The sequence below is a fragment of the Homo sapiens genome, chromosome 19 (assembly GCF_000001405.40).
Source record: "Homo sapiens chromosome 19, GRCh38.p14 Primary Assembly".
Taxonomy (NCBI): domain Eukaryota; kingdom Metazoa; phylum Chordata; class Mammalia; order Primates; family Hominidae; genus Homo; species Homo sapiens.
This window is the reverse complement of record NC_000019.10, coordinates 4,021,131-4,039,844: the sequence shown is the minus strand read 5'-3', so window position 1 is coordinate 4,039,844 and position 18,714 is coordinate 4,021,131. Positions and strand designations below refer to the sequence as shown.

Genomic DNA, 18,714 nt, shown 5'->3' with positions numbered 1-18,714 from the left:
TTTGTGTATCGTCTTGGCCACCCAGAGACATGGACGATCCTGGGACCTGAATTCCATGTACAGCCCAAGTCCCTTCTCCCATTCTCCCAGCGTGGTGGACACCAGGCCCAGGCAGTACAGTACACAGTAAAACTGGCCTCATTCAGGTCGGGCATGGTGGCTCATGCCTGTAATCCTAGCACTTTGGGAGGCTGAGGCAGGAGGATCACTTGAGGCCCAGAGTTCAAGACCAGCTTGGGCAACACAGCAAGACTCCCTGTCTCTATTAAAAATAAGTAAATAAATAAAAATCTGCCTCATTTGACCACGAGCAGCACCTTTTGAATTCTGAAGCTGAGGCAATAACCAAGAAAGAGAGATGTGGGTGAGGCTGAGTTTCTGTCCTTCCCCCAACTCCGCCCCCCGACTACAGGGTACACACTTAAGAGACACAGGGCACAGAAAAGCGGACGCCTGGATGGCTTCACCTCGACCTTTTTTATTTGCATTTTTTAAAAACAATTAAATTAGAATACAAATATTAGAAAACAGCGGCCTTCAGCTGCCCGTGCGGGCGGGAGGGGCCGAGCTGCGCAGCGGGCTGCGGGCTCTGCAGTGAGACTGAACTGCCCTCGGCCAGATGCACGTCCCTTTCTTTAGACCTGAAATGATATTGCTTCCTGACTAGGAGTTCTGTTTATACAAAGGAAAATTCTGGGCTGGGGAGGACAAAAGCAAAACAGACCGCAGGCAGCGGTGTTGGAGAACCAGGTGAGGCCGGTGCCCCGCCTGCGCCCCGGTCTCCTGCGGGGCAAGGGGGGTGCCCAGCTGTGGGCTCCTGAAGGCAGAGCCCTGGTAGCTCCCCCAGTTGTTGGACCCTGAGGCCAAGGGCATGGGTGGGGCCTGCGAGGGGCCGGGAACGCCTGGGGACAGGAAGGAGGCCCCTGGTCTGGTCCTGCTGGAAGAGTGAGGCTCCCGGGGGACAGGGTGCCGGGCCAGCCTCGTACCCGTCGGAAAACCAAGAGCAAAAAGGAGAGGAATCAACCCAAACCGAGAGCCGGGGTGGCCGGGGTCCCTGCTGCCCCTTGGGAAGCGACCGCAACCCATGCCCCAAGGACCGGGGTATGGTGGCGGCGGCGGCGGCGGCAGCTGTGGACATCTGTGGACATCTGTGCTGTTCCGTAGGGAAGTTAACCTGAATTGGAATTACCGAGGTAGCTGGCTAGAAAACTGAGACCCCCCCACGCCACACGGTGCCGCACCCTGGGCCCCCGCCTTCCCCGGGGGTTCCTGACCACACGCCGGGTCTTCAAAATACCAAATTATTGCACTTTCAAAAAATACAACACATCTGTGGCTAAACCCTCCCCAGCCGCCCACTGTACCCCCATCCTGCCCACCCATCCCCCCACCCTACTGCCCCTCCCCGCCCCAACCCACTCCATGGCTTCTCGGCTAAAACGCTCGCTGCTCGGCGCGTGAGGGTCTCTGGGCGAGGATGCATTTGCAGAGAAAAAGCAAAGGAAGAGACAAACGTCAAAGTGGTCGCCAGAGAGGGGCTGCGCCCCACCGCCCGCCGCCCGGGTCCCCGCGCACTGGCTGGAATGGTCGTGGGCAGAGGGCGGCGGGCGGCGGGGCATCCGGAGGGGAGGGCGCGGGGCGGCGTCCTGGTCCCTCCCGCCCACTACCCCTTCCCGGCTCGGACTCCAGCCGGGGAGGCGGCTGTGTGGGTGGCCGGCCTTGTTTTTAAGAGTTTGACTTTTTTGTTTCATTTTTCTTTTTTGTATCTTTTTTTGTCATTTTACTTTTTTTTTTAATCCCCCGATAGGAGAGTCCAGAGGTACAGGTGCCAGGAGCCAGGCAAAAGGGTGGAAAAACAAAACGAACGACAATAAAAAGAAAAAGAAAGGTCACTCCTCCCTCTGCGCCCGAGGCTGGCCCGTGCCCCTCTGCGTGGTGAGCACCAGGAAAGTCGAGTGTGCGGCCGGGGTCAGCAGGCCGGCACCAGGCCCTTCTGGAAGGGGCAGCGGCGCTTGGGCCGGGGCCCCTCTTCGTCCTCGTCTTCCTCCTCCTCTTCCTCCTCCTCCTCATCCTCCGAGGACGATGAGCTGTCCAGCGTGAGGTCCACCACATCGGCGCCCGGCTTCCCATTCTCCATGCTGCCCACCGGGCCGCCGCCACCCGTGCTGCCCAGGGCACCGCTCCCGTTGACGCTGGGGGCGGGCAGGAGCCCATTGGCGTCCGAGGGGCCTACGGGCAACAGGGACAGGGTGCAGGTACTTAGGATGCAACCACTGATAAATGGGGAAACTGAGGCGGCCCTGGCTGCGGACTGCGCGGCTGGTGGGGTGAGGCACTCACCCAGCACGAGGATGGCGCCCTGCGGGCTGCAGCTGCGCTCCTTTTCGGCGCGGATCGGGCACCACGAGCCGTCCACCAGGTACTCGATCTCGTCGGCGTCCTCACACTCGCTCAGGATCTTCGAGAGGAGCCTGGGGCGAGGCGGACAGCTGACGCCGGGGCTGGAGGTGCCCCACCCCCCCAACTCCCCAGCCCTCCATCCCTCCCGGATGCAGCCAGGCACTCCCCACTTCTCTCTGCAAGAGCAGCCTCACCACCCCGACCGCAGGGGTCCAGGGACCCCGCATTCCCTCCCCCGCCCTCAGGCCCCTGCAGGTGCTGAGCCCCAGGCAGGTCTGCAGTGCACGGCACTGCCGGGGGGACGGGGCATGGACACACATACCCAGTGGCCCCCAACTACCCACAAGAGCAGGGAGTGTGGCAGCTGCAGGGGTCCTCCCCACCCTGCCCCTCTGGGCACCTCCGGGTGTGCACGCATGTTTGAGCGTGTGTGGACGTGAGTGTATCTGTGCATGTGTGCGAGCATGTGCGTGTGTGTGCACGTGTGCATGTGTGGAGTCTATGAATGTGTGTGTGTGAGCATGTGTACACACGTGTGAATGGATGCATATGGGCATACGTGAATGTGGACTGTATGGATGTGTGGCATGCGGGTGTGGGCGTGTGTGTGTGACGGTGTGGACTGTACAGATATGTGACGGTGTGGACTGTATAGATGTGTGTGTGTGTGTGACGGTGTAGACCATATAGATGTGTGTGTGCATGTGATGGTGTGGACTGTAGAGATGTGTGTGTGTATGATGGTGTGGACTATATGGATGTGTGACGGTGTGGACTGTATAGATGTGTGTGTATGACAGTGTGGACTGTATAGATGTGAGACGGTGTGGACTGTATAGATGTGTGTGTGTATGACGGTGTGGACTGTATGGATGTGTGACGGTGTGGACTGTATAGATGTGTGCATGTAACAGGTGTGGACTGTATAGATGTGTGTGTGTTTGTATGACGGTGTGGACTGTATGGATGTGTGACGGTGTGGACCGTATAGATGTGTGTGTGTTTGTATGACAGTGTGGACTGTACGGATGTGTGACAGTGTGGACTGTATAGACGTGTGTGTGTATGACGGTGTGGACTGTATAGATGTGTGACGGTGTGGACTGTATAGATGTGTGCATGTAACAGGTGTGGACTGTATAGATGTGTGTGTGTGTGACGGTGTAGACCATATAGATGTGTGTGCATGTGATGGTGTGGACTGTATAGATGTGTGTGTGTATGACAGTGTGGACTGTATGGATGTGTGACGGTGTGGACTGTATAGATGTGTGTGTGTTTGTATGACGGTGTGGACTGTACGGATGTGTGACGGTGTGGACTGTATAGATGTGTGTGTGTTTGTATGACGGTGTGGACTGTACGGATGTGTGACAGTGTGGACTGTATAGATGTGTGTGTGTATGACGGTGTGGACTGTATGGATGTGTGAAGGTGTGGACTGTACAGATGTGTGTGTGTGTGTATGACGGTGTGGACTGTATGTGTGTGTTATGGTGTGGACTGTATGGATGTGTGCAGGTGTGTGTGTGAGACGGTGTGGACTGTATGGATGTGTGCGGGTGTGTGTGTGAGACGGTGTGGACTGTATGGATGTGTGCGGGTGTGTGTGTGATGGTGTGGACTGTATGGATGTGTGCGGGTGTGTGTGATGGTATGGACTGTATGGATGTGTGTGGGTGTGTGTGTGTGATGGTGTGGACTGTATGGATGTGTGGGCATGCGGGTGTGGGTGTGCACGCACACCTGCTTTCACATTGCACTGTGTGCCCGCCAGATCAGGAAACAGGCTGGAGTGAAGGTGCTGGCTGCTCAAAGCCCCTGCAGAGGCTGTGAGGGTAGCAATGGGAGCAGAGTGCGGGCTCCCCACGCCCATGCCAGCCACAGCCTCTCCAGAGCACCCCCACTGTGTCCGGCCTTTTTACTCGGAGGTCCTACCAGCCCCATTTTACAAATGCAGAAACAGAGGCTCGGGAAGGGAACGAGTTCCCTGAGGCCACAAGGCCAACTGGAGGCAGGCCCTGGTTCTGCTCCCCAACCCGTCTTAGCCAAAGGGCCTCAGTCTCCCCACCCGCAGGAAGGGAAAGGTGCAGTGGCTGGGGGGCGTCTGAGGAGAGGCCCCCTGCCCCACGGGTCCATGCAGGGCCCAGGCTGGCCTGTTACTGTCAAGGCTACAGCTGCTCCCAGGCACCCGCAGTGGCATCGTTCTCATCACACAGGAGAGCCCTCGTCCCACTCTGGGCCACCCTTTCTGAGGCTCTCACCCAGGCCAGCCCCTCCGCCCCGCCGAGCTCTCTCTGAGGCGATGCTCGGAGCCCACCGTGCCAGGGCCGCCCCAGGCGTAGCACAGCCCTGCCTGCCCACTTCCCTGCTTGCAAAACTGCTTTTCACCCTCCAAAGCCCCACCCCACAGCTTCTCTTCCTCCTCCCCAAGACACACACAGCAACGGGAACGTTTATGTCTGGCTCTGCTCCTCTATCCGCTCCCCTGGCCAAGAACAAGACTCTGAAGGCAGGGTCTGGGACGGGGCTCTTTTGGGGACCCTGGGGTCACCCAGCTCAGAGCCAGGGACAGAGAGGTGATAGGGCTCATGGAACAAAGTATGAACCAAGGACCCCTCCTCCAGGAAGCCTCCCTGGCTACACCGAGTCCCATGGGCTGCTGAGGCCAAGGCCTGCATGGGACACAGCTGCCTGCCCCAGCCCTGGTGGCCCTGGAGCTGTGAGAGCTGCCGCCACCCCAAGCCCAAGCCCCACTCCGGGCCTGTGGGGGAAGGCGGGCACCCGGCTGCACAGCTGTCAGGCTGGGAACAGAGCAGCCATTCAGGCAGCCCACGTGCCCGGCCCAAAGGACTCCTCTCTCTACCCGAAGCTGGGATGCAAGGGGGTGGCCACCCAGCCCTCCACAGAGGGGACCCAGACTCAGGCTGGGTTCAAGTCTCAGCCTGGCCCCGTGAGCCGGGGTAGCTCCAGCTGCTGGTTGCCTCCTCTGAGCCTGTTTCCTCGTCTGTAAACTGAGGACGCTCACAGGTCTGTCTCCTGGGATGGGGACAAGTGCATGAACCGGAGGTCCACCTGGGGATGAAATCTACAACCCCAGAGGCAGGCCAGCCCTGCCTTCACCTGCACAGTCCGCTGAGGCCATGCCTGAGGGCTGGGGACCCGGCCCACCCCCACAGGCAGGGCCTGCTCCCGCCTGTGAGGGCGCCAGCTTGTGCCGCTGTGGCCTCGCGCCCTGCCGGCGGCTCTGGGGACGAGGTGGGCGCGGTCGGCGCCGGGCAGGAGCCGCATCAGGCACCACAGACAACGGGGCTCAGTTTCTGGAAACTTAAGCCCTGGGCAGAGCCTTCCACCAGGGAGAAAGGTCTTGTCCTCCTGTCCCCTGTGGCCTGGGGAATGCCTGGCCACAGCTGTGCCACCTAGGAAGGGAAGGGCATGGCGTAGCCAGAGTGCTCCAGGAGGCGCCACCTCCTTTGCCTTTCTGTGAGGAGGTCACCCCCAAGGCTGCGCGTCCTGGGGTGAACGCCGTGTGAAAGCACGACCTGGCTCAGTTTTTTGTGGCACAAACCACACTCCTGGAGCTCAGGGTCACACTTGCCTGAGGTCACGTGGGAGCGGGGTGGACCGGAGCCCACCTTCTGCAACCTAAGCTACGTGGCTGTCACCTGCATAGCAAAGGCTCTGAGAAGTTCCGCGAGAAAGAAACCGGCTCTTTTCGCAGCCCGGGGTTTCCAAAGCTCCAGGACCATGTGCCCCCACTGCTGTGTCTTGCTGGGGCACCATGTGGTCTGCAGGAAGCGGGGTGCCACCGAGACCTCCACGGATGTCCGGCTCCGGCCGCCCTCCCCGGGGCCCCGGGCTCACCCGTCGATGATGAGCTGGTCGTAGGGGGCTGGCTTGTCGCACACGGGGCACATCCAGGTGGGCTTCTTCTCGTTCATCTGCAGGTAGAAGACGGCGTCGAAGCACTGCAGGTGGGCACAGGTCTCTGCCCGGCAGGGCACGGAGAGCCGCATCTTCACCAGCTGTGGGGGAGGGGCTGCGTGAGCAGGGCACCCCTCCTGTTGTGCCCGCCTGCCCGGTGCCCCTCACCCCCAGCTCCATCCTGTGGCTCGCTCCAATCACTCATGCCTCAGGAACACGGAGGGGACGAAGACCAGCCTCGCCCCCGCAGGCTCACGGCCCAGCCAAGCCGCCCCGGGCCCAGGGCCGCCAGGGGGGAAGGCCGGCCGCAGGAGAGGCCTCGAGGAGGGGACCGCGCCCCGACTCACCGGACAGATGAGGGACACCCGCACACCGGTGGTGGCGATCTCGCTGTCAGGATCAAGGCGCAGCTTCTCCTTGACTGTGGGGAGGGAACGGAAGACACCGTCAGGAGGGTGGGAACAGCAGGGCGCGGGGCTGTGATTCGAGTTCTCTCCGGCACTGACGTCCACCTCCCAGAACAGGCCCCTGACGATGAGTCCCAAGCTTCGCTGTGTGGCTCGGGGCCGTGAGGGATTGGAGAAAGCCGGGTGGCAACCACCATTAGATTTGACCACAACCTGGGCACAGCACAGACCCAGCCGAAGCCCCCACACGGAGGTGGCCTATGTGGCCTCCCCCACCCTGCGTGGACTATGACCCATGGGACTTTTCTGGCAAGTTTCATGCAACACAGCCACCGAAAGAGTCATTGCTGTGACTTCATTCTGTCACCGAAGCACCATCCCCAAGGCCACAGCGGGGAATGAGGCAGGGACTCTTTGGGAGACGGATCCTGGGGCTTCCTGGCTGTGAGCCAGCAAGCGGCTGCCGCCCAGCCCCAGCACCGCCCCAAGGCAGCCTGCAGACAGGAGTGTAGCTGCTTCTTTAAAGGAAAAGACGGTGCCCGCCAGCAAGCTGCACGGAACATGGGGAAACATATGTGAAACATGAAGTCTTGGAGGCAGGCGCCGCCCTCCCCTCGACGGGCAGCAGGCCCACAGCCAGAAGGAAACTCACGCAGGGACCCTGGCTGCCCTCCTGAGGCTTCTGGGATGTGGCTCCATCCCAGGGTAAACTCCATCCATGGGTAGCTCAGGAGAGACCCCAGCCCTGGGCCATGGGGGGCAGGCCACCCTGGCCCACAACCCACAGGGCCTCTCCATCCACCACCTGGCCCTCAGCTGCCTGGTGGACCAGTGTTGCTTCCTCCAGGAAGCCACCTGCCCAAGTGACTTGGGGTCCAGAGTGATGGTGCCAGCCTGCCCCCCCACTCCCCCCAGCTGTCCTGACGTTCCTCCGCCTGGAAATGCCCCTACCACCCCTTATTGGCCTGAAACACCACTTATCTCTGCCCGCTTGGGAGCCACTTCCTCCTTCCTGACCCCCACCCAGACCCCCAGCCGGGGTGTGGAGCAGTGGGCTCTTCCTTCTCCCGTGGGGACGTGGTGGCAGCCACGTGCTGGCTCCCAGCAGCTCCCCTGCTTGAGCCAAGGCTGCCCCAGCCGCTCACTCCTCAGCTGAGTTTCCATCCTTGGATCCCAGCTCTGGCTACCCGGTGCCCGGGTGGACCCTCAAGCCTGGCAAAGGGGCAGCTAGGAGGGGATGCAGGTGCCCATCTGATTTTAAAGCAAACTCTCCCTCCTTTGTGTATGGAGAGACGTGCGCAGCAGGAAGGGTTCAAGTGAGGCAAAGGTGAGGACTTCCTAGGTGCAGCAAGAAAGAAATCCAGTGACAGAGAGGCTGAGCCTGGGGCCGGCTGTGGGAAGCAGCAGGAGACCCCTTCGGAGAGGAAGCCTGACCCCACAGCCCCCAGCACTGCGGGCTCTGGTCACTGAGGAGTTAAGCCCGGCCCCCACCCCGTGGGCCTAGAAGAGGCCTGCCCGGCCCCAGCCTCCTCCCTCAAGTTGGCCATGTCCCCACAGGCAGGGAAGGTCGGGGGCGGTTGAAAAAAGGGCCCTTTGAGGGAAGAGGGAGGTGGGGCGGGGTAACCCAGGACACAGAACCCTAACTTTGCCACTCTGTGCCTCAGTGTCCCCACTGGTCACACGGGTACATAGCCAGGCCCTCCATCCCCGAGCCTGGAGGAGGCTGGCCAAGGATGCCGGACTCCGTGGAGGGACCCCTCACCCTCCACGTCCTGCTCTGCAGAGGGGGTGCTGCCGGCTATCTTTCCTGACTTGGGGGGCTGGAGTGCACAGGAGGCTTCAACACGATGGGGCTCGCAGGCCCCTGGCAGTGCCAGCACTGCTCCAGGCTTCTGGACACCCAGGCAAGGAGGTGCCCTTTGGTGGTCAGGAACAGGGACCAGAGGCCTGGGCCTGGCTGTGCCAGGAGGGCAGTGCTCATGGGGAACTCTCTGGCCTGGGCACAGGGGCCTGGGCAGCTAGGAGGGGCAGCTGGAAGACCCTCTGGCCCACATTCTGCCAAGGGGCTGGGGTGGTGCCCAGATTCCACCTGAAAACAGCCACCATTCGGGAAGGGGGTGCGAGCAAACCCGGCTGGCCCAGAACCGCCCTCTCGTCAGCCTGGCAGGTGGTCCCAGTCCTCACCCACCTGCCTGACTCCCACTCCCAGCTCCAAATGACTCCAGGTTAGGCCTAGCCTCTCCATAAGACAGGCCTGCAGAGCCCACTGAGGCCTGGGCCCCAAGCATGTGGGGTCCAGAGAGATGTCCAGGTGCCCTCAAGATGGCTCAGATCTATTCTCCTGAAGACAGTGGCCACCAGAGAAGGCCAGCGACTTTCTGAGGCCACACAGCCGCCAGGCAGGGCTAACTGCTGTACGCTGGCTTTGTGCTGCGTGGCTGCTTGGGGTGAGGACTGATTTGCCTACCAGGCTTGGCAGGCTTTTTTTTTTTTTTGAGATGGAGTCTCACACTCTCACCCAGGCTGGAGTGCAGTGGCACGATCTCCGCTCACTGCAAGCTCTGCCTCCTGGGTTCACGCCATTCTCCTGCCTCAGCCTCCCGAGTAGCTGGGACTACAGGTGCCTGCCACCACGCCTGGCTAATTTTTTGTATTTTTAGTAGAGATGGGGTTTCACCATATTAGCCAGGATGGTGTTGCTCTCCTGACCCCATGATCTGCCCGCCTCGGCCTCCCAAAGTGCTGGGATTACAGGTGTGAGCCACTGCGCCTTGCCGGCAGGCTTTCTTTTAAAATTGCTCTGCGTGTCACTTAAAAAAAATTGTTTTCATTGTTACAAGGACAAAAGAGACCAGGTGCGAAAGTGGCCAAGACTGTAATCCCAGCACTTTGGGAGATTGAGGCAGGTGCACTGCTTGAGCTCAGGAGTTTACGACCAGCCTGGGCAACACAGCAAGATTCCATCTCTACGAAACATTAAAAAATTAGTTGGGGCCGGGCGTGGTGGCTCACGCCTGTAATCCCAGCACTTTGGGAGGCCGAGGCAAGCGGATCACGAGGTCAGGAGCTTAAGACCATCCTGGCTAACAAGGTGAAACCCCGTCTCTACTGAAAATACAAAAAATTAGCCGGGCATGGTGGCACATGCCTGTAGTCCCAGCTACTCAGGAGGCTGAGGCAGAAGAATCGCTTGAACCCAGGAGGTAGAGGTTTCAGTGAGCCGAGATCGTGCCATTGCACTCCAGCCTGGGCAACAGAGTGAGACTCTGTCTCAAAAAAAAAAAAAAAAAAAAAAAAAAAAATTAGTTGGGTGTGGTGGTGAACACATGTGGTCCCAAGCTACTCAGGAGGCTGAGGCAGGAGGATGGCTTGAGCCCGAGTTAGAGGCTACAGTGAGCCACGATCCCACCACTGCACTGTAGCCTGGGCGATACACCGAGACACTTTTTTTTTTGAGGTGGAGTCTCGCTCTGCAGCCCAGGCTGGAGTGCAGCGATGCAGTCTCAGCTCACTGCAACCTCTACCTCCCAGAGACCCTGACTCTCTAAAAAAAAAAGAAAAAGAAAAAGAAAAAAGATTAAACGGGGCCTCACCAACGTGAGGTCAGACCGCCGCCGCCCGTCTTCCTCCCACAGCAACTGCCTCCACGACCCTGGCCGTCCGTGACCCGCCAGGTCCCGCAGCACCCTCGGCCCCGCTGAGGCAACGAGAAGGGGCTGCTTAGACCACAGCTCCCTCTGTGCTCCTCTCACCCCTCCCGGCCTCTGTGCTGTCCCGGAATGAGGCTCCAGCTCTTCTGCTGCTTAGACCCCTGTGGGCTGGAGCACCTGGGGCCAGCAACACGAGGTGTGACCCCACAGGCCTCCGCACAGCAGCTCCCACTGCCAAGTGCCCCCTCTGCCATCCGTATCCTCCAGAGACCTCCCCAGCCACAGCCGGGGGGCCATGGACCCCCAGAGTGACAGGCGGCCCCTGATCGATCTCCTCCGGGTGCAGGGCCCCCCGCTTCACCCAGCACAGGGCGGGTTTCCAGGGTGGACTTGGCACCCCTCGGCCGAGGTGGCCTGAGCTGCTCACCCAGTGCCTTGCACAGCTCCGGGTGCTTTACCCCAATGGTCTTCAGCCTCTGCAGCAGCTCCGATGAGGTCAGCTGCCGCACCAGGTACAGGGCCACCGAGTAGCTCTGGGGACAGAAGGAAGGGGTCAGGGCTGGCAGGACGGGGCCGGGGTTGGGGGGCAGGGTGGGCACCCGGGCACGCACTCACCTTGCCGTAGTTCCCCCAGGTGACAGTGATGCGGTTGGTGGCCGAGGACAGGTACATGAGGTGGGTGAGGTTGATGGGGCGGCACGGCCTCTTGGGCTCCACCCCGGGCTTATTGGAGGGGTAGTAGCCCTGCAAGCAGATGGGCCGCTCAGCCTCGAGCCAAGAGCGGCTGGGAAATCCGACGGCCCCCACCCTCCCTCCACGCCCCCCAAACCCGTGCAGCCGACGCGGGGGCGGGGCATGCTCACCGGGACGGAGCAGTAGCTGTGGTTGACCTTCACAGCGATGTTGGGCGGGTACTGGTCCTCCTGAGGGCAGCTGGTGTCTGAGTAACAGATTCTGCAACGACAACAGGGACCATGGGGCGGGGAGGGGGCGCACAGGAGGGACTAGGCTGCTGCGGGGGTACACGAGTGGTAGCCAGGCGGCAGTGATGGGGGCACCGGAGAATGTGACACGGGGGGTATCAGGGCCCCCGGGTGTGGCCTGAGTGGGGGTCGGATGGTGATGTATCCCCAGACAGGGATAGACAGCAGGTGAGGAGAGCTGGGCTCTGCTGTTAGCAGGGGAGACTGAGAAGGGCCTGGGCCAGGACTGGGGGGCGGGGAGGGGCGGGTGGCTGGGGGTCCAGCCCTGGGGTCGCGGGCACACCTGGGCATACCTCAGGACGACCTGCACGGCTTTAACTCCGGGCTGCAGTTCCCTGTGGGTGTGGAGCAAACCAGAGGAAAGGAAAGGAGAGCTGAGTGAGGAGGGCGTGACCCCAGCCCACCCGACAAGGTGGAGACCGCCACACCACAAGGCTCCCTCCCCCAGAGCTGGGAAACTGAGGCCCAGGACTCTTTTGTACGGGCTGGGTGAGAGGAGTGGCTGTGAGGTCAGGAGAGGGGCTGGCCTCCCTGGAAAATGCAACAGAATCCACAGCAAAACCCTGAACCAGAGAGGGCAGCCAGGTGCCTCTCCCTGCGAAGAAACATAGCTAAAACGTGCATGCGGGAATCTAGCAGCTGGCTCACAATGGCAAGAAAACACCCAGTTTGGGAGGTCAAGGCTGGCGGAGCTCTTGAGCCCAGGAATTTGAGACGAGCCTGCGCAACATGGTGAAACTGTCTCCACAAAAAATTACCCAGGCGTGGTGGTGCACACCTGTGGTCCCAGCTGCTTGGAGGCTGAGGCAGGGGGATCGTCTGAACCCATGGAGGCACAGGCTGCAAGCTATGATTGCACCACTGCACTCCAGCCTGGGTAACAAAGAGAAACACTCTCCAAAAAAAAAAAAACAAAAACCAGTAACACCTGAGGATAAACTTTAACAAGAAACGCCCCCAGAAGAAGAGGAAAAAGTCTATCTACCCAAAGACGCATCCGTGGATGTTCACAGCAGAACTGACCACAACAGCCACAAACTAGCAGCATCCTGAGTGTCCTTCCGTAGACCGAAGGACCAACACGCACGGGACGCGACCCAGCCATGGAAAGGAGCCAGGCTCAGACCCAGGCCTCAGCACAGGTGCACCGTGAGGATGTCCCACCCAGTGAGAGACGCCAGACACGAAAGGACACACAAGGCAGGTGGCTCACGCCAGTAACCCTGGCACTTTGGGAGGCGGAGGTGGGTGGGTCACTTGAGGTCAGGAGTTCGAGACAAGCCTGGGCAATATGGTGAAACCTCGTCTCTACTAAAAATACAAAAATTAGGCCAGGTGCAGTGGCTCACGCCTGTAATCCCAGCACTTTGGGAGGCCGAGGCGGGCGGATAACAAGGTCAGGAGATCGAGACCCTCCTGGCTATCATGGTGAAACCCCGTCTCTACTAAAAATACAAAAAAAAAAATCAGCCAGGCGTGGTGGCGGGTGCCTGTAGTCCCAGCTACTTGGGAGGCTGAGGCAGGAGAATGGCGTGAACCCAGGAGGCAGAGCTTGCAGTGAGCCAAGATCGTGCCACTGCACTCCAGCCTGGGCCTCGGAGTGTGACTCTGTCTCAAAAAAAATACAAATATTAGCTGAGTGTGGTGGTGCACGCCTGTAATCCTAGCTAGTCAGAAGTCTGGGGCAAGAGAATCACTTGAACCTGGGAGGCGGAGATTGCAGTGAACTGAGATCGCGACACTGCACTCCAGCCTGGGCGACAGAGTGAGATTCTGTCTTAAATAATAATAATAAACGAAAGCCACATAGTATGTGATTCCACTTCTATGAAATGTCCAGGACAGACCCATTTACAGACAGGAGGGGATGCGTGGGGGCCAGTGGATGAAGGGTGGCAGCTGCTGGGGATGGACATGACTGCCCTGAGACTAGGCAGTGGTGGGAGCTGCGATACCTACTGATCCACGAGAACCCACTCGATGACACCCTTAAAAACTGTATATTCTATGGTATGCAAATCATATCTCGACATAAGAAAAAGAAATGTGGGATGGGCAGGGTGGCTCACGCCTGTAATCCCAGCACTTTGGGAGGCAGATGTGGGGTGGATCACGAGGTCAAGAGATTGAGATCATCTTGGCCAACATGGTGAAACCCTGTCTCTACTAAAAATACAAAAATTAGCCAGGCGTGGTGGTGCGCACCTGTAGTCCCAGCTACTCGGGAGGCTGAGTCAGGAGAATCGCTTGAACCTGGGAGGCAGAAGTTGCAGTGAGCCGACATCACGCCACTGCACTCCAGCCTGGCGACAGAGCGACTTCATTTCAAAAAAAAAAAAGAAAAAGAAAAAGAAATGTCCAGAAGCTTTCTGAGGAGAAAACCAAACTTTTTTTTTTTTTTTTTTTTGAGACGGAGTCTCCCTTTGTTGCCCAGGCTGGAGTGCAGTGGCAGGATCTCGGCTCACTGCAAGCTCCGCCTCCCGGGTTCACGCCATTCTCCTGCCTCAGCCTCCCGAGTAGCTGGGACTACAGGCGCCCGTCACCACACCCGGCTAATTTTTTTGTATGTTTGGTAGAGACGGGGTTTCACTGTGTTAGCCAAGATGGTCTCGATCTTCTGACCTCGTGATCCACCTGCCTTGGCCTCCCAAAGGGCTGCGATTACAGTTGTGAGCCACCGTGCCCAGCCCAAACTGATTTTTTTATACTGTGTGGCTGGCTCTGAGCACTCTGCAGCAGGGACCCAGTGCAGGTGGAGGCTGTGCTGACCCAGGTACATAGACAAGGAAGACGAGGCTGAGAAAGACGAGGTCGCCACCTTGGGTCACCCAGGCAGAGAGGCCTCCATGGCCAAGCCTGGCTCGGCTGGATCTGAACCCTTACTAGGTGTGAGGGCCAGGCTGGGAGGCCCCAGGAACCTGGCCCCACAGCAGGTGGGGGCGGTGGGTCTGAAGCGGCTGGGCACGAGAAGCTAGGCATTAAATGGGGGCGCCCGGCCCAGCCCTGCCATGGACTCAGGGGTGACCTGGGCAAATGGCCTCCCCTGTCCTAAGGGCCCAGCACCTACCATTAGCCTGCCCAGCAGGAATCTGTCTCAGCTGGAGGCAGTACAGCCTCGGAGAGACTGAGGGAGGAGCAGAGCGCAGGGCAGCCACACTGGCCCCTCACCTGCCACAGTTCAACCGTCCTCATCTGAGGACGACCCTGCCCCAGGCGACACCGAGCTGTGTCTGGGGACATCTGTGGTTGTCAGAGTTAGGGGTGTTCCTGGCACAGAGCAGGTGGAGGCCAGGGATGCTGCTCAGCAGCCTGCAGTGCCCAGGACGGCCCCACCGAGGGAACCATCCCACCTCACTATCCACGGTATGGAGGGGGAAACCCCGTATTCATTATATAACTGGGAAAAAACCTGACTTCCGCCAGGCGCAGTGGCTCACGCCTGTAATCCCAGCATTCTGGGAGGCTGAGGTGGGTGAATCACCTGAGTCAGGAATTCGAGACCAGCCTGATCAACATGGCAAAACCCTATCTCTACTAAAAATACAAGATTAGCCGGGCGTGGTAGTGAGCGCCTGTAATCCCAGCTACTTGGGAGGCTGAGGCAGGAGAATTGCTTGAATCCAGCAGGTGGAGGTTGCAGGAAGCCAAAATCGCGCCACTGCACTCCAGCCTGGAAGCCTGGATAACAAGAGCTACACTCAGTCTCAAAAAAAAAAAACAAAAAAACACCTGACTTAACTTCCTGCTCATGCTGGACACCAGAATAAATTCCTAAGGCGGGCGGTGTAAACCGGGGACCCCCAGCTCCTGGGATTCACCTACTTTCTCCCCCTCCAATTCAGGGTGTGGATTTCAATGTATGCAGCCTTCTGGGACCTCAGCAGGGCAGAGGATCATGGGACACAGAGTCTCTTGGGGATACGTGGAATCCCCTAACCCAGGGAGGTCTCGCCCGGGTTATCCTGCCCTAGGGGACACTGGACAATGTCTGGGGACATCTGTGGTTGTCACAACAGGGGTGTGTTCTTGTCATGGCGTGGGTGGAGGCGAGGAATGCTCCTCCGCTCCCTGCAATGCCCAGGATGGGCCCAGGAGGGCAAGACCGTGTTAAAAGGGCACAGTCAGTCCGCCTCTCTCTAGCAGGCTGCAGGGCACAGGCAGTGGGCACACAGGCCAGCACCTGAGACCCAGGATGGGGTTTTCTGGAAGGAAGCAAACCCGGCCACTGCCTTGCAGCACGGTTCTGGACTGAGCCCGAGCGAGGCCTGCAGTGGACGTGGCTGCCGGCTCTCCCCAGTGAGCCCAGGAGAAAGTGGGTGGGCGGGCGGTGGGGTGCTGGGCTGGGGGAGGTGCCGCACACCTGGAGTTCCGGATCAACTCCACCTGTCTTGGCGTCAATGCGAAGATGCACGGGCTCTCCTGAAGCTTCTCGTTGTTCTGTGGGACTGAAGACAAACACGGGGTCAGGGGCATGTCTGGTCCCTGGCAGGTCCCCCGAGCCCAGTCGCTTTTCCCAGCCTGCGCCTCTTCAGACCAGGAAACAGGAAATGGGAAGTTGGCTGGACAGATATGTGGGGCAGAGGTGGGGGCCGCCCAGGAAGGAGGATGAGGGAGGACTCCCGCCCATCCCCTTCTCGGGGCCGCTCACCATGGCCTGTGTCCTGTTGACGGCCACTCAGATTGCTGGGTGACCTTCGCAGCCTGTGGGATGCAGGCGTCTACTTAGGAAACCGAAAAGTGCCGAGCTGCCTGGCGGGGAGAGCTGGACCCAGCCAGGCCAGCAGGACACTGCCATACCTCCTCTCTCCTGAGCACAAACCGGACCCGGCCCTTGCTCTCCTCCTGCCTGCAGGGTGGCCACGTCACCCGGACAGAGGTGGTGCGGGGGGTACTGACGGGATGAAGGCCATGGTGCTCACAAGCCTGGGCCCTACCCTCTTACTTACAACTGGACTGACAGGCAGAGGCGCAGTCAGAAAACATTGGTTTTTGTTTGTTTTGTTTTGTTTTGTTTTGTTTTGGAGATGGAGTTTTACCCTGTCGCCCAGGCTGGAGTGCAATGGCACGATCTCGGCTGACTGCAACCTCCGTCTCCCGGGTTTAAGCGATTCTCCTGCCTCAACCTCCCGAATAGCCACCAAGCCTGGCTAATTTTTGTATTTTTAGTAGAGATGGGATTTCGCCATGTTGGCCAGGCTGGTTTCGAACTCGTGACCTCAGGTGATCCGCCCATCTCAAACTCTCAAAATGCTGGGATTACAGGCGTGAGCCACTGTGCCCAGCCAGCCCCATTTTTTTTTTTTTTTTTGAGACTTTGTTTCACTCTTGTTGCCCAGGCTGGACTGCAATAGCACAATCTCAGCTCACTGCAACCTCCACCTCCTGGGTTCAAGTGATCCTCCTGCCTCAGCCTCCCAAAACAGCTGGGATTACAGGCATGAGCCACCACGCCCGGCTAATTTTCTATTTTTAGTAGAGGTAGGGTTTCTCCATGTTGGCCAGGCTGCTCTCGAACTCCCGACCTCAGGTGATCTGCCCACCTCGGCCTCCCAATGTGCTGGAATTACAGGCATGAGCTACGGCGCCTGGCTGCCGCATCTCTTAAAAAAACAGCAGGGTGTGGTGTCTCAAAAAAAAAAAAAATAGCCAGGCCTGGTTCGGGCGCCTGTAATCCCAGCTACTTGGGAGGCTGAGGCAGGAGAATTGTCTGAAGCTGAGAGGCAAAGGTTGCAGTGAGTGGAGATCACACCACTGCCTGGGCGACAGAGTGAGACTGTTTCCAAAAAAACCCAAAAAAACAAAAACAAAAACAAACGGCCAGGCGCGGTGGCTCACGCCTGTAATCCCAGCATTTTGGGAGGCCGAGGGGGGTGGATCACGAGGTCAGGAGATCGAGACCATCCTGGCTAACACGGTGAAACCCCATCTCTACTAAAAATACAAAAAATTAGCTGGGTGTAGTGGCAGGCGCCTGCAGTCCCAGCTACTAGGGAGGCTGAGGCAGGAGAATGGCGCGAACCTGGGAGGCGGAGCTTGCAGGGAGGCGAAGCTTGCAGTGAGCCAAGATCGTGCCACTGCACTCCAGCCTGGGCTACAGAGCGAGACTCTGTCTCAAAAAAAACCACCAAAAACAACAACAACAACAAAAAAAACAAAACTCTAGCTGAACAACAAAAAGACAGTGAGAACACAAACTACCAATATCAGAAATGAAAGAACAATAGTACAGACCCTACAGCTTTTCGGTTCAATAGGGGAATAAAAGGTGAAACTTTATGCCAATGAATCTGACAACTTAGTGACATGGACAAATCCTCCCAAAGATGCAAATTACCAAAACGGGTACCAAAAGATACAGGAAGTTTGAAAAGCTCTTTACCTGTTAAGGAAGTTGGATCCATAATTAAAACCTTTTCTGAAAACTGCAGGTCCAGATTGGGCATGGTGGCTCATGCCTGTAATCCCAGCACTTTGGGGGCTGAGGTGGGTGGATTGCTTGAGCCCAGGAGTTTGAGGCCAGCCTGGGCAACAAAGTGAGACCTTGTCTCTACAAAAAATTTTTAAATTAGCCAGGTGTGGAGGTGCACACCACCTGTAGTCCCAGCTACTTTGGAGGCTGAGGCAGGAGGATTGCTTGAACCCAGGAAGTGGAGGCTGCAGTGAGCCATGATCGTACCACTGCACTCCAGCCTGGGCAACAGAATCAGACCCCATCTCAAAAAAAAAAAAAAAAAAAAAGAAAAAGAAAATGCAGGTCCATATCGGTGAATTCTATAAAACATTTTGGAAAGAAACCACATAAACCGTACATAAACTCTTTCAAAAAACAGAGAAGGAAAGCATACTTCTTATTTTACAAGGCCAGCATAACTCTGATACCAAAACCTCACAACTCAGCATCAAGGAAGGAAAATTCCCGATGAATACCCCTCATGAACACAGATGTAAAATCCTCCACAAAATATCAGCCAGTATTTCAGGCCCCTGCGATTTGTGTAGAAATCCAAGACCGGTTTAAATCCTCTCTACACACCCAGGCCAGGTGCGGTGGCTCATGCCTGGAATCCCAGCACTGTGGAGGCGAGGCAGGTGGATCACTTGAGGTCAGGAGTTCAAGACCAGCCTGGACAATATGGTAACCCCATCTCTACTAAAAATACAAAAATTAGCCAGGCATGGTGACACACGCCTCTAATCCCAGCTACTCGGGAGGCTGAGGAGAATCGCTTAAACCCAGAAGGCGGAGGTTGCAGTGAGCCGAGATTGTGTAACTGCACTCCAGCCTGGGTGACAGAGTGAGGCTCTGTATCAATAATATAAAATGAGGTAAAATAAAATAAAATACCTCTC

The 18,714-nt window shown here is 58.2% G+C and overlaps 1 protein-coding gene across 3 annotated transcripts in view; it reads right to left on the bottom strand.

Moving 5' to 3' along the window:
* Positions 1 to 458: 458 nt before the first annotated feature.
* Positions 459 to 18,714, bottom strand: part of PIAS4 (protein inhibitor of activated STAT 4) — a 31,651-nt gene continuing 13,395 nt past the window's right edge. For 2 of the 3 annotated variants that reach the window (NM_015897.4, XM_011528060.3), the window contains exons 3-11: positions 15,725 to 15,809; positions 11,658 to 11,699; positions 11,245 to 11,335; positions 10,997 to 11,125; positions 10,809 to 10,914; positions 6,672 to 6,745; positions 6,265 to 6,425; positions 2,341 to 2,471; positions 459 to 2,229 (exon numbers count right to left, since the gene is read on the bottom strand). In NM_015897.4, coding sequence (NP_056981.2) covers positions 1,970 to 2,229; positions 2,341 to 2,471; positions 6,265 to 6,425; positions 6,672 to 6,745; positions 10,809 to 10,914; positions 10,997 to 11,125; positions 11,245 to 11,335; positions 11,658 to 11,699; positions 15,725 to 15,809 — 1,079 coding nt within the window. In that variant the 3' untranslated portion in view covers positions 459 to 1,969. Of the gene's footprint in view, positions 2,230 to 2,340; positions 2,472 to 6,264; positions 6,426 to 6,671; positions 6,746 to 10,808; positions 10,915 to 10,996; positions 11,126 to 11,244; positions 11,336 to 11,647; positions 11,700 to 15,724; positions 15,810 to 18,714 lie in introns of those variants that run through there. The other variant, XM_017026868.2, reaches the window with a different exon arrangement.